At 39.6% G+C, this 14,399-nt stretch overlaps 1 long non-coding RNA gene across 1 annotated transcript in view; it reads left to right on the top strand.

The window, feature by feature from the left end:
• Positions 1-14,399, top strand: part of LOC124909471 (uncharacterized) — a 30,393-nt gene continuing 15,994 nt past the window's right edge. The window contains exon 1 of the long non-coding RNA XR_007096210.1: positions 1-111. This is a non-coding gene — a long non-coding RNA (uncharacterized LOC124909471). The remainder of the gene's footprint in view (positions 112-14,399) is intronic.

The following is a 14,399-nucleotide window of genomic DNA, read 5'->3' as shown; positions in this document are numbered from 1 at the left end:
AGATCAGATTTGAAAGACTGCTTCTCCTGCCTTCTCACTTTGGCCAAATCAAACAAACCTTTCTCTGCTCCTGAGCGCTGATCTGCCAGTGTTTGGCTTACCATGTATCAGGTACATGAACCTAAATTTGGGGGTTCAATAACGTTGATTTCTTTCATCTTGTTTCATAATTTCCATTTGTTCTTCTTTTTACTGTTTCTTTTAATTCTTTTTTCATGTTTTGGATTGATTGTGTCCCTGGTTCCCACTCCATTCAACTTATTTTCCTCCACCAGTTTAGGAGTTTTACATTCCACTATTCCAGCTACCCTTAAAATTTTACATGTCCATTTAACATAATATTGTCCAAAGTAAATGGTCTTAGCATATTTGTCTTCTGAACAACAAAAGGAAAGTGAAATGGCCTGAGGCAATCACCCTGTTTACTTTACATGCCATTGCTGTTTAAGATATGAGTTTTGTCTTGATTTTTTTTAACACTACAAATTGAACGACATTGTTAATTTCTTTTACAGTCAATATCTGTTTAGTTTTAGCCACACAAGTCTACACTTTGTTTGGTATTCCTTTCATTTCTCAGAACTTAATTCTGGGATTCTTTTTTTTTTTTTCTCTGAAGAACATTACCTAGATTTTCTTCTATGAGAGTTTGCTGGAAGTAAATTCAGTTTTTGTTTGTTGAAAATGTCTCTATTTCTCAATTGTTCTTGATGGATGATGTCGTTACACATACAAAATTATTTTGACAATTATTTTCTCTCAGTACTTTGAAGACATGTCTTCTGATTTCAACTGTTGCAGTTGAAAAGTAAATTACCAGTTTTGTAGGTAATATTTTTTTCTCAACTGCTTTTAAGATTTGTTTGTGTTCTACAGTTTCTCTACAGTGTGTTTCAGTGTGAATTTCTTTTCATTTATTCTGCTTGGGATTTATTAGGCTTTCTGAATCTAAGTCCTTATTAATTCCAGAAAATTTCAGCCATTACCCTCTCAAATATTTTCTGTCTTCCATTCTATCCATTCTCTTGAAATTCTGCTAAGTACATTAGAGACATGTACTCCAGCCTCTGTGTGTCTACATTTTTTTAAATGTTAATTTTTTTGCCTCTCTATTCTTTCTATCACTTCATCAAGTCTGTCTTACAGTTTAGTAACTCTTCCTTCTGCTGTGCCTAATACACTATTTAACCCATCCATTAATCTTCTAATGCCAATTTTATATTTTTAATAAATAAAATTCATAATTAAGATCTTCAATTCCACCTGGTCAAACTTCATAATCTTTACTTTTCTTATTTTAATTACGCTTTTTTTACTTTAGGAATTTTAATGATATCTATTTTATATTCTGTTTCCGGTAACTCTAATATCTGCCATTCTCATGGATAAGACGTGGGAGCTTGTTGGTTTTGCTAATTCCCATATAAACTAACCCATGTGGACAGTGCTTTCTGCATGTGAGGTCATTTTCCTTGAGGATTCTGTGTAGAAATTCTTTGCTGCCTGAGTTTAAAATGCTTTTCTTCAGAAGACTTGTATTTGCTCCTTCTAGCCATCAAGAGGCCCTGTCACCCTAGGACCACACTTTAAACTCAGTTTTTGGCTTGGATTTTTTTGGTGCCACATGGTAGGGTAAACTCAGGCCTCCAACTCATTTGAACACTGCCCAGGTTTAGGAATTGTGAGAAGAAACTTTTGTTTTCTTTTCTGTATTTTCTGCTCTACCCAGAATCAAGCCTGTTGTCCATTACTTCCCTCTGCAAGTTGTGGAGATCTTCCCCATCGGAGAATTTAGGTTTGTGTGGTCGTCTGCAACCCCAGTCCCCACTCTGCTCAGGCTCCAGCTTTGGCTCCAGTTAGGAGCCCAATCTTAGGTCACCCATGGTGAGAGGTCACACAATGACAAAACTGTCCCGGAAGATCCACACCGTCTTTCACGTCTGGCCTTCTTTACTTTCCAATCTCATCCATACATTGAATTTTAGGTGGGTTATACCATGAGAGGTTTATCTAAACATCTATTTTACCAAAGGTTGGTCCTCAACCTTTCCCTTAAAACCCTCTTCTTGGCCGGGCGCAGTGGCTCACGCCTGTAATCCTAGCACTTTGGGAGGCCGGGGAGGGCGTATCACCTGAGGTCGAGAGTTTGAGACTAACCTGACCAACATGGAGAAACCCAGTCTTTACTAAAAATACAAAATTAGCCGGGCATGGTGGTGGGCGCCTGTCCCAGCTACTCAGGAGGCTGAGGCAGAAGAATGGAGAATCGCTTGAACATGGGAGGCGGAAGTTGCAGTGAGCCAAGGTCGTGCCACTGCACTGCACTCCAGCCTGAGCAACAGGAACAAAACTCTATCTAAAACAAACAAACAAACAAACAAACAAACAAAACACCTCTTCACTTTTTTCCCTCTCTGCAAAGACATCATTAAGGAAAAATAAAATGCAGTTTATCTTGCCATAACACAGTTTTAATTTGCTTGCCGCTTGTTTGAAGGAAATTGTCTACCATATGCATGTTTGTAAATTGCTGTTCTACTGTTTTTCCAGTCCACTGTTTGTGGTGAGGATGTGCTTGTTGGCTGCTCTCAAGCCACTTTTGTGTCTGCTGCACCTGTGTCCACAGATCTAACCCATCTCTTCTTTTTCATCAACCTCTGGTGGACCTGCCACCAAATTTTTGTAAAAACCCTTACAAGAAAGACGATCACTCTCCTAGGTTAACACTATCTTTTCAATGTCTACTGACGTATTTACCCTACAAGCTATTTTGGGGGGTTAACCTCAATAAGTGAATACATGTCATAATGCCATGTACCTAAAAGGCATTTGCTGTTTAAGACAAACAATAATGGCTTATGGTAAATATGTAGCCCGTGGATATACACAGCCACTGTCAATATTAGTTCTAAATTCCATGTCCCTACAACTTCTAGATGCCTTTGCTAATATCATTTTTCTACTTTCTAGAAGATTCCAAACACTAATTATGTTCTAGGTGGCTGAGCATGGTAGCTCATGCCTGCAATCCCAGCACTTTGAGAGGGTGAGGTGGGAGGATCACCTGAGCCCGGAAGTTTGAGACCAGCCTGAACAACATAGTGAAACCCCATTTCTTAAAAGAAAGAGAAATAATAATAATGTTTTAGGAGTGGAAAGTGAGACCAGAAGAGGGGCCAACAAGCATTTATGGAATGACTACTCTAAGCAGGGAATTATGCTTCATGTTGTCAGCATCAGGGATGAGTAATAGTCTCTGCTCTTAACTAACTTACAGAGATAAGGACTAGCAAACACGGTATCTAAAAACCTCTAGGATCCATTTTTATTCATCTCACAGTCTCTGTAGGAGGAAAGACGTAAGAGATGGATGTTGAGTGGGAAATCAGCAATGCCTACTACCAGGGATTGCAAATGGTATATCTGACAGGTTGGAGGAGATTCTGGAAAAAGCTAAATTGCAGTGATGGACAACGGGCTCATGGAATACAGAAAACTCACTGTTACATAAAATCTAGCAAGGAGGCTCCTACTCAGTAGTAGGCCCCAAAGAGAAGGAACATAGACATCTGGGGAAAACAAAAGAAAACAAAACACAGATGTTGTAGTTTAAATCCTTGCTGCTCAAAATGTGGCCCTATCCCAGACCCATTCTATTAGAATCTGCATATTAACAAGATTCCCCTACAGTCCAGAGCAAACCAAGGTAATTGTTCACCCTACAACAGTTTCTCAAATTTTAATGGGCTTAATGAACTCTGGGGATCCTGTTAATATGAAGATTCTAATAGAATGGATCTGGGGAAAGTCAGTGCTAAAACTGGATAGTCTCAGGCAAACTGGGACCTTGGTCACCCTAGAAGTACTACTTTACACTGCCTCATCCTGTTTCCCAGGATGCCTATACACTGGGTGAGAGATAACTACATGTGAAAATATAGAATTTTCTCGCTGTGAATCCAAGTGGCACACAGGAAGGAGAAAGTGTATTGTGAAGGGAACCAAAATATTTCATCCCAAAATATACTTTTGATATATTTTGAGATGGCTGTTCATAGGGCCTGCAGACAGAAGTAGTCCTGCAAAGCTGTCTTTTGTCAGGAGATCTACACCTGTAGAAGAGATAAAGTGAAGTCAACAGCAGATACAACAAACTTTCTTGGAAGCACCCCCCTAGTCTGGACTTAGGAGAAATTAACTGAGAGTCCGGTTAAGAGATGGTAAAGAAACATTTACTGTCTATTCTCTCTCGGTGCTGCTACCTTTGAGGATTAATCTGTATAATAAGACCACCTTTGTTAGTCAGGCCTCCTTTTCTCTTCCTCCCACAAACTATGTTGCAAGTTGAAATTTAAAAAATAAAAATAAAAAAACCAAACACCTATCTTCCAGCCTGAGCAACATGGCAAGACCCCATCTATACTAAAAATAGAAAAATTAGCCAGGTGTGGTGGCATGTACCTGTGGTCCCAGCTACTCAGGAGGCTGAGATGGGAGGGTCACTTGAGCCCACAGGCCAGAGGTTGTGGTGAGCTGAGATTGCACCACTGCACTCCAGCCTGGGCAACAGAGTGAGACCCTGTCTCAAACAAAACAAAACAAAACACCTATCTTGCCACCATAAACTGGTTTACCACCATAATGAGTTTTTTTCCATGCTCTGAGCCCCTATTCTTTCTGTAACCTCAAGGTGGCATAGAGGGAGTTAGCTCCCCTATCTCCCAGTTCCTGTGGGAGGGTAAGAGCCTAATTTCAGTGGAGACTTTCTTACAATCTGCAAAACTACCTCTTGTCATAAAGATATAGGAAGTGTGGTTTCTTCTTCAGATAAAGCCAATTAGACAACGCAGGTGGTCTTCTCAATGACCATGGTAAAGTTAGAATGAACCATGTGTGACAAAAGGTCCTGTCAAGTTTTCTTACTTGAGAAATAATGATAGTTTATCTTGACCATGTGTATGTAATGGGTTGTGTGTGCTTGACTATATAGGGGGATGAGCTTTCTTTCCGTCTTTGCAGTCCTTTAGCAAACTGCCTGCGATGTCCATCACATTCTGGTTGAATGCTTGTTCAATAATAAAAAGTGTTTTCTTTCTCTTCTATTTCTGTGGAATTGTTATCTGGATTGAGAGGCGATTTTGTTTTTAATTATATTTCCCCAACACCTTTAAGAAGGTGGGTGTCCCCACCCAAATCTCATGTCAAATTATAATCCCCATGTGTCAGGGGAGGGGCCTGGTGGGGGCAGATTTCCCCTTGCTGTTCTTGTGATAGTGAGTGAGTTCTCATGAGATCTGACGGTTCAAAAGTGTGGCATTTCCCACTTCGCACTCTCTCTCTCCTGCTGCCATGTGAAGGTGTGTCTTGTTTCCCCTTCACTTCTGCCATGATTGTTAGTATGCTGAGATCCTCCCAGCCATTTAGAACTGTGAGTCAATTAAACCTCTTTTCTTCATAAATTACACAGTCTCAGGTAGCATCTTTATAACAGTGTGAGAATGGACTAATACACCCAAATAAACTCCTTAAACATGCCTGGACTTCTTGGTTTCTTTCACTGAGCTTTAATGTCCAGGTGCATGGCTTCTTGACAGTAAAGTTCCCTGTTAGCAATGCCTTGCAGGGGGGTGTAAGCACTTTTCTCTATCCCAAGATGCCTTTCAGAGGCTAAAGCAGAGACAGAATTTGAGCTGATAACCAAATGGCATCCCATCACAGGATTTTATTCAACAAAAACTTACTGTCTTTTGTGTACCCGCCAGTGTGCTAAAACTCAAATATGGTCCAATCTACAAGCTTACTGATTTTTTTTTTTTGAGACAAGGTCTTGCTCTGTCACCCAGGGTGGAGCACAGTGGCACAATCTTGGCTTACTGCAGTCTTGACCCCCTGGGCTCAAGCAATACTACTACCTCAGCCTCCAAAGTAGCTGGGACTACCGGTGCACACCACCATGTCTGGCTAATTTTTGTATTTTTGTACAGATGAGGTTTGACCATGTTGTCCAGGCTGGTCTCGAACTCCTGAGCTCAAGCAATCTGCCAGCGTTGGCTTTCCAAAGTTCTAGGATTACAGGTATGAGCCACTGCACCTGTCCAGGCTTGCTGATTCTTAACCCAACATAATTTTTTTCTTTTGCTATTTAACAAAGCTATAATAAACGTTTGTGTCTTTTGGTCTACATAAACAACATACCACATTAAGCAGATTAACCATCAGCTCTATTTTGACATTTATACCGTGTTTTTTTTTTTTTTTTTTTTTTTGACAGAGTCTTGCTCTGTCACCCAGTCTGGAGTACGATCTCGGCTCACTGCAACATTTGCCTCATGGGTTCAATCAATTCTCCGGCTTCAGCCTCCCAGATAGCTGGGATTACAAGTGTGTGCCACCATGCCTGGCTAATTTTTTGTATTTTTGATGGAGACAGGGTTTCACCATATTGGCCATCCTCGTCTTGAGCTCCTGACCTCAGGTGATCCACCCACCTCCCAAAGTGCTGGGATTAAAGTGAACCACCACTCCCGGCTTATACAGTGATTTTTTTTCTTTCTTTTATTTTTGAAACAGAGTGTCACTCTGCCACTCAGGCTGAGTGCAGAGGTGTGATCACAGCTCACCACAGCCTAGGCCTCCTGGGTTCAAGCAATCCTCCTGCCCCAGCCTCCCAAGTAGCTGGGACTATAGATGCCACCACACCCAGCTGATTTTTTTTATTTTTTTTGTACAGAGAGGGTCCTGCTCTGTTGCCCAGGCTGGTCTCAAACTTCTGGCGTCCAGCAATCCCCCAACTCCAGCCTCCTAAAGTGCCCAGATTACAGGCATGAGTCACCTCACCCAATTGATTTTTTACTTTTATCAAATTTATTCTGATGTATTATAACATTTGAGTGTCACAGAGCTTCAATAGGCAGGGTGGATGTTATTATCCCTGAGTGTTAGGTGAATGCACTGTTTCAAAGAGAATAACTTTCTCCAGGAAAAACAACGAGTTAATATTATAATAAAGCCCAACAAGCAGGTCTCTTGACTGATCTCAGGGCTCAGACTCATTCTGCAGAGCCAAAAGGCTCTAAGTTTTTTAACTCTTTAAAAGTAAGAAGTAACTTACTAATGAATGGGTGCATGTCTTCACAATGACAGATAAGAAGAATGGAAAATCCCAAGGCATTTGAACTCTTGACAAGATGAAACTTTGGCTCTCTAGTGGCAGGCAGTGATAGGTCTTTCAACAGTGCTGTGATAGGATCCACGGTGATGCTTTTATGTTTCCTTTATCTTCACTGAGACCTTGGGAAGAGGTTTGGAAGCCCGAGGAAGATTTGTTATTGAAAGAGGAGACTTTTCTGGAGAATCTGGCACACAACTTTGTTTTGCTAGGCTTTCAGGAAATTAATAGTCAGGCTGCATTCCAGCCTCAGGACCTGGGCTGGTGGCAGCTGCTAGATATTTGGTCTGGCAATTAAAAATGTCACTATTAGAAACCTTTTGCAAATTAAGACAAATACTAGGTTTGTTCCTGCTTGCTGGGGGACACACTTTTGCCTTTTCAGCTAGAGCTAATTATCTGCACCTGAGAAAATTGCTATCCAAGTGATGATCAGCCTGGGGGATCTGTGAACTGCCCTCCAGAACTTTCTGTTCTCAGCAGTCTTTATTACCTGAGAAAGCTAAAGAATTTCTACATTGCATGGAAGACCGTGTGAGAGAACGACTTTCCTCCTTATGTGTGTGTTAACTCATCTATCTGATTACACACTGAGTTAAGCTGATGATCTATACCACAGCTTTTGTGAAATGCTTGTCTGATGATGGGTGAGAGTAATTGATGGATATGGTGGACAGAGTTGATTATCTGAATCAAGGAAGTTTGTTTTGCCTCAGCAAAAACTGCTTTTGGGGGCCAGGCACGGTGGCTCACACCTGTAATCCCAGCACTTTGGGAGGCTGAGGCAGGCAGATCACTTGAGCCCAGGAGTTGGAAAGCAGCCTGGGCAACATGGCGAAACTCCAACTCTACTAAAAATACAAAAACTAGCCAGGCATGTGTAGTCCAAGCTACTCAGGAGGCTGCGATGGGAGGATTGCCTGAAGTTGAGGCTCCAGTGAGTCGAGACTGCGTCACTGGACTCCAGCCTGGATGGCAGAGTAAGACTCCATCTCAAAAAATAAAATAAAACAACCAAAAAAAACTGCTTTTGAATTCAACTTTAAAGTGAGAATTGACCTCCAAGGAGGTCATAAATGTTTGAACCTGAAAATAATTTGTCTCCTAAAAATAAAGACCACTTGGGCTTACTGAATGAGGGCAGGATCTCGGTATTATTTATTTCTGTATGCACAGCTCTGTTCTTGACACATGATATACTTCAGTATGTGTTCATTGCTGATTGTTTACAGACCTGGGGACATGTTCACCAAAGTTGGTATTGGGTACACAGAGCAGAGAACCCCTTGGCAAGGCTGGGACCACTGCAAGGCTCTTAGAGAAATGTCTGAGGACTCTGTCCACTTTTCAAATGTGACTTTCAAGAGGAAGAGGTGGGTGCCCGAGAGCCCTTAGGGTAACTGAGAATCAGAATGAGGGGACACAGAATGGAGTGGATCTTAGGAGTGGCATAGAAATTACTAATATCAATGTTCTTCCCCGGGTGCAGCAACTCGTTCTGAAACTGCTCAGACACTGGAGGCAAGGTAGTCTGCTTTAGTAATGATGGCCATCCATCTCCTCATGAGAAGCCTTGAAGAACTTCTACTTATTTATGCTTTTATCCAGTTTCACCAGAGAACTGTGCTAACAATGAAAGACTCACAATAGGCTGTGCTCAGGAAAATACTCAGTTTCCTGGCAAAGCTGCCTAGAGCCCCACCAGCAGCCTTGCCAGGCTGACCTATGATCTCAATGAGAAACCCTATGAGAATGCATGGAACACAAGGGAACCCATCACCACTTGTGAAAACAATGTACCCATTTAGAATCGAGGTATTGAGCAGCCTTCAGGTACAGGCCCAGGAAGGGTAGGGGTGAGAGATGGGCAAGGAGCTTATTACCTAGTAGGTAGTATGAGACAGGTATCTGATAAACACAAGACATGGTGGAAAGCATTGAGTACCATGAAAAATACACTAGAAAAATTACTGTGAGATGGTGGCAGAGAGAGAGAGTAACTGAGGATTCTTTGGAGATATCATATTTCACACAGGCTTTAAATGATTAGTAGAATTTGTACAAGCAGCTTTGGAAGTAAGAGGCAAGGGGATTCCAGACAGAGAAAAGAGAATGCGTCAAATTACTGAAGTGAAACAGCACAAACTGTGCTTTGGGATAAGCAAGCAGTTTCATTTGGCTGGAACATATGTCGGATGAGAGAGGGTATTGAGAGACAAGATTAGAAGGCTTTAAACATCAGAGGAAAGCAGTCAGCTCTTATTTGGAATCAAATTGAAAGGCACATGTGGGAATAGTCACAGGTCAGCATTTTTATCCATAGTAGAAATTTATCAGAGCTTCTACGGAGCTCACAGCTCTTTCCAATGAGATTTTCACCAGTCTCTCTGAATCTTTATAAAGAAGAACAGAGACTGTGATTAACCTTTTCTCATTTCAGGAGGAAAAGAAATAAGGTAAACTTTGAGCATGGAATATTAGATGCCAGTTATTTATCAGAGTGGATTCTGTTCTTAAGGGTATGTAGCCATCTTTTTCAGATATTCAGGCCACACAGGCAACCACTCTGTTCCCTAGGGTAAAACTAGCACTGGAATTCAAGTTCCATGTCTGACCTTTTTTTATGTCAAGCTCTTGAACAATGAAACTAGAACAGCCTCACCTAAGGCAGTGGCAGTGAAATTGGGGAAGAGGAAACAACTTCAAGAAAGAGTTTGAGGATAGACTCAATAGAACTTGGAATGAAGGAATGAAGAATGTGCATGTCAGTTCAAGTCCTCTAGAAAGTGGATGGATAAGACAGAGTTAGAAGTGCAACAGATTCATTAGCAGTAATGTCTATGAAAGACAAAACAGAGGGAACAGAAAGGGGTAGGAAAAGTCTTTAGACCATGAGGTAGGTCTGATATCTGTGAAAGGAGAGGAGAAAGGAAGGTTGATTAGATAGGAAGAGCCTCAGATTTTGGTGAAGCTCTGAGATTTGACCAACTTATTGGAGAGCTCTGATCCAAGGAATGTCAGGCAAGGAATCCTTCATTGGACAAAAATGGTGAGGCTCATTCATTGAGTAGGTGCTACAGGAAAGAGAATGACCTCAGCTCAAATGTTGTGATGGATGAAAAGGTGCTACAGGTGTAGGCTGTCAGCTAACTGCACTCCTTGCCGCAGACTTCTCTTGAGGGAAGATCTGGAAGGGTCTCTTCCATGGCTGCCACAGGGGTGAGAAGAGATAGGAATCAAAGATCAATCCAAAGCTCCTGGATAGATGGCTGGATAGTTCCTGATATTATGAACACATTTTAGAGAAATGGGCTGTGGAACACTGTCTTCTCCAAATGCCTCTGAAATAAACCTTGCTTGGAGGTAGAGAATGTGACAAGGTGACACTTTTAAGCCTGTGATTTAATATTCTTTTTTCTTGTACTCTGCACAGCATCATGTGTCATATTGCAGCTCATACTCTAAAACCACAGCTTAAGCCTCTTCTCAGATTACCTCTTCCATAAAGCTAATCCGAATGAACCCAGGATTTAAAAAAAGGTTGACACAATGCTATTGATTCAAAGCCCTTTTTAATAGATCATTGCTTTTTCTTGAATTCTCTTTCCACCAATTCCTCAATATCTTTCTTATATGCCTTTCTCACTGAGAATTCTGTCTAGCCCCCTGCCAAAAATTTGTCTCCCTTCCTTCCTTCTTTTGTTTGTTTTATAAAGGCATTTACAATTTTATTAAGGGATAAATATGTATGATAAACTGTATATATTTACTGTACAAAATTGGACAAATGTTGTAATATGTATAGACCCTGTAACCATGCCACAATTAAGATGAAAAAGATTTCCATTAACCCAGAAAGTCTTCTCATGCCATTTGGTAAAATATTTATCTCTCTTTCACCAGGAAAACATTGAATTGCTTTCTGTCACTGTAGATTAGTTTTCATTGTCTAGAATTTTATACAATGGAATCATATAATTGTACTTTTTGTCTGGCTTCTTGGACTTAGTATAATTACTTTCAACTTTATCCATCAATCAATAATCTTGTTGCCAAATACTGTTCCATTTTATGGATTTACCACAATTTGTTTACATTAAGCCATTGATAGACATTCAGTGGACTTCAATTTTTGGCTGATAAAAATAGTGCTGCCATAATTATTTAAGTGCACCTTTTCTATGAATGTATGTTTTCATAGCTCTTGGAAAAATATTTACTTAGGAATGGAATAGCTGGATTGTATGGTAAAAGAATGTTCAACTTTTTAAGAAAGTGCCAAACTGTTTTCCAAAATCGTTGTACCACTTTATATATTCAAACCAGTAGTATTTGAGAGTTCTAATTTCTCCACATCATGTTAACATTTGGAATTATCATTTTGTTTCATCATATTTTTAAATTTTGGCCATTCTAGTCAAAGTGTAGTTGTATCCCATTTCGGTTCAATTTGCATTTCACTAATAACTCATAATGTTCAGCTTTTTTTTGTATGCCATCTATGTGTCTTCTTTGGTAAAGTGCCAGTTGAAATCATTTGCCCATTTAAACAAATTATGTTCCTTGTCTTCTCATTTTACAGTTGTAACAATTCTTTATTCTGGATAAAAGTCCTTTGTTAGATATATATTATGCAAATATTTTCTCCCAAATCTGCAACTTAGATATTATTTTATTTTTTTATTTCAGTAGGTTTTGGGGAAACAGGTGGTTTTTGGTTACATGAATAAGTTCTTTACTGGTGATTTCTGAGTTTTCGGTGCACCCATGACCCGAGCAGTACACACTGTACCCAATGTGTAATATTTTATCTCTACCCTCCCATCCTTCCCCTCGAGTCCTCAAAGTCCATTATACCATTCTTATGCCTTTGCATCCTCATAGCTTAACTCCCACTTATAAGTGGGAACATACGATATTTGGTTTTCCACTCCTGAGTTACTTAGCTTAGAAAGTGGTCTCTAACTTCATCGAAGTTGCTACAAAAGCCATTATTTTGTTCCTTTTATAGTATTGCATGATGTACATATACGACATTTTCTTTATTCACTTGTTAGTTGATGGGCATTTAGGTTGGTTCCATATTTTATCACTTGTGAATTGTGCTGCTATAAACTTGTGTGTGCAAGTGTCTTTTTCATATAATGACTTCTTTTCCTTTGGGTAGATAACCAGCAGTGAGATTGCTGAGTCGAATGGTAGAAGTACTTTCAGTCCTTTAAGGAATCTCCATACTGTTTTCTACAGTGGTTGTACTAGTTTACATTCCCACCAGCAGTGTAAAGGTGTTCTCTTTTCACCACATCGATGCCAACAATTATTATTTTTTGATTTTTTAAATTATGGCCATTCTTGCAGGAGTTAGGTGGTATACTGAATTGTGGTTTTAATTTGTATTTCCCTGATAATGAGTAGGTGTTCTTTCCCTACTTCATGTTTTTGAATGCTTTGTCAATGATCAAGTTGGGTATAAATCTTTGGCTTTATTTCTGGGTTCTCTATTCTGTTCCATTGGTCTGCATGCTTATTTTTATACCAGAACCATGCTGTTTAGGTAAGGATAGTCTCGTAGTATAGTTTGAAGTCAGGTAATGTGATGCCTCCCAATTTGCTCTTTTTGCTTAGTCTTGCTTTGGCTATGCAGGCTTTTTTTTGGTGGGGGGGGTTCCATATAAATTTTAGAATTTTTTTTTTAGTTCTGCAAAGAATGATGATAGTATTTTGATGGGAATTGCATTGAATTTGTAGATTTATTTTGGCAGTATGGTCATTTTCACAATATTGATTCTATCAATCCATGAGCATGGGATGTGTTTCCATTTGTTCACGTCATCTATGATTGCTTTCAGCAGCTTTTTGTAGTTTTCCTTGTAGATGTCTTTTATCTCCTTGGTTAGGTATATTCCTAAGTTTTTGTTTGTTTGTTTGTTTTGTTTTTTGCAGCAATTGTAAAGGGGGTTAAGTTCTTGATTTGATTCTCAGCCTGGTCATTGTTGGTATGTAGCAGTGCTACTGATTTTTGTACATTGACTTTGTGTTCTGAAACATTATTGAATTCATTTATCAGATCTAGAAGCTTTTCAGATGAGTCTTTAGGGTTTTCTAGGTATACAATCATATCATCAATGAACAGCGACAGTTTGACTTCCTCTTTATCGACTTGGATGCCCTTCATTTCTTTCTTCTGCCTGATTGCTCTGGCTAGAATTTCCAGGACTACGTTGAATAGAAGTAATGAAAGTGGGCATCCTTGTCTTGTTCTACTTCTCAGGTGGAATGCTTTCAACTTTTTCCCATTCAGTATAATGTTGGCTGTGGGCTTGTAATATATGTCTTTTATTACCTTAAGCTATGTCCCTTCTATGCCAATTTTGCTGAGGGTTTTAATCATATAGGGATGCTGGATTTTGTCAAATGCTTTTTCTGTGTCTGTTGAGATGATCACGTGGTTTTTGTTTTTAATTCTGCTTATGTGGTGTATCACATGCATCAACTTGCGTATGTTAAACCATCCGTGCATCCTTTGTATGAAAGCCATTTGTTCATGGTGGATTATCTTTTTGATATGCTGTTGGATTTGGTTAGCTAGTATTTATTTGATTTTTGCATCTATGTTCATCAGGGATGTTGGTCTATAGTTTTCTCTTTTTGTTATATCCTTTTCTGATTTTGGTATTAATGTGATACTGGCTTCACAGAATGATTTCGAAGGATTCTGTCTTTCTCTATCTTTTGGAATTGTTTCAGTAGGATTGGTACCAATTCTTTGAATATCTACTAGAATGCAGCTGTGAATCCATCTGGTCCTGGATTTTTTTTGTTGTTGGCGATTTTTTTTATTACTGTCTCAATCTTGCTAATTGTTATTGGTCTGTTCAGAGTTTCTATTTCTTCCTGATTTAATATAGGAGGGTTGTATGTTTCCAAGAATTTATCCATCTCTCCATTTTTTTAGTTTGTGTGCATAAAAGTGTTAATAGTAGTTTTGTTGACTTTCTGTCTTGATGACCTGACTAGTGCTGTCAGTGGTGTATTGAAGTCCCCCACTATTATCTCAGCATCATTTGTCTGAAAAACTTGGTAGTGGAGAATTCTCTCAGCATTTGTTTGCCTGAAAAAGACAAAGGCCAGGGAAGTCGTCCTCAATTATTCCCTCAAATAAGTTTTCTAAAGTTTTAGATGTCTCTTCTTCCTCAGGAACACCAATTATTCTTACGTTTGGTCATTTAAC

Source organism: Homo sapiens, chromosome 3 (assembly GCF_000001405.40).
Source record: "Homo sapiens chromosome 3, GRCh38.p14 Primary Assembly".
Lineage (NCBI taxonomy): Eukaryota > Metazoa > Chordata > Mammalia > Primates > Hominidae > Homo > Homo sapiens.
This window is presented reverse-complemented; position numbering and strand designations above follow the sequence as displayed.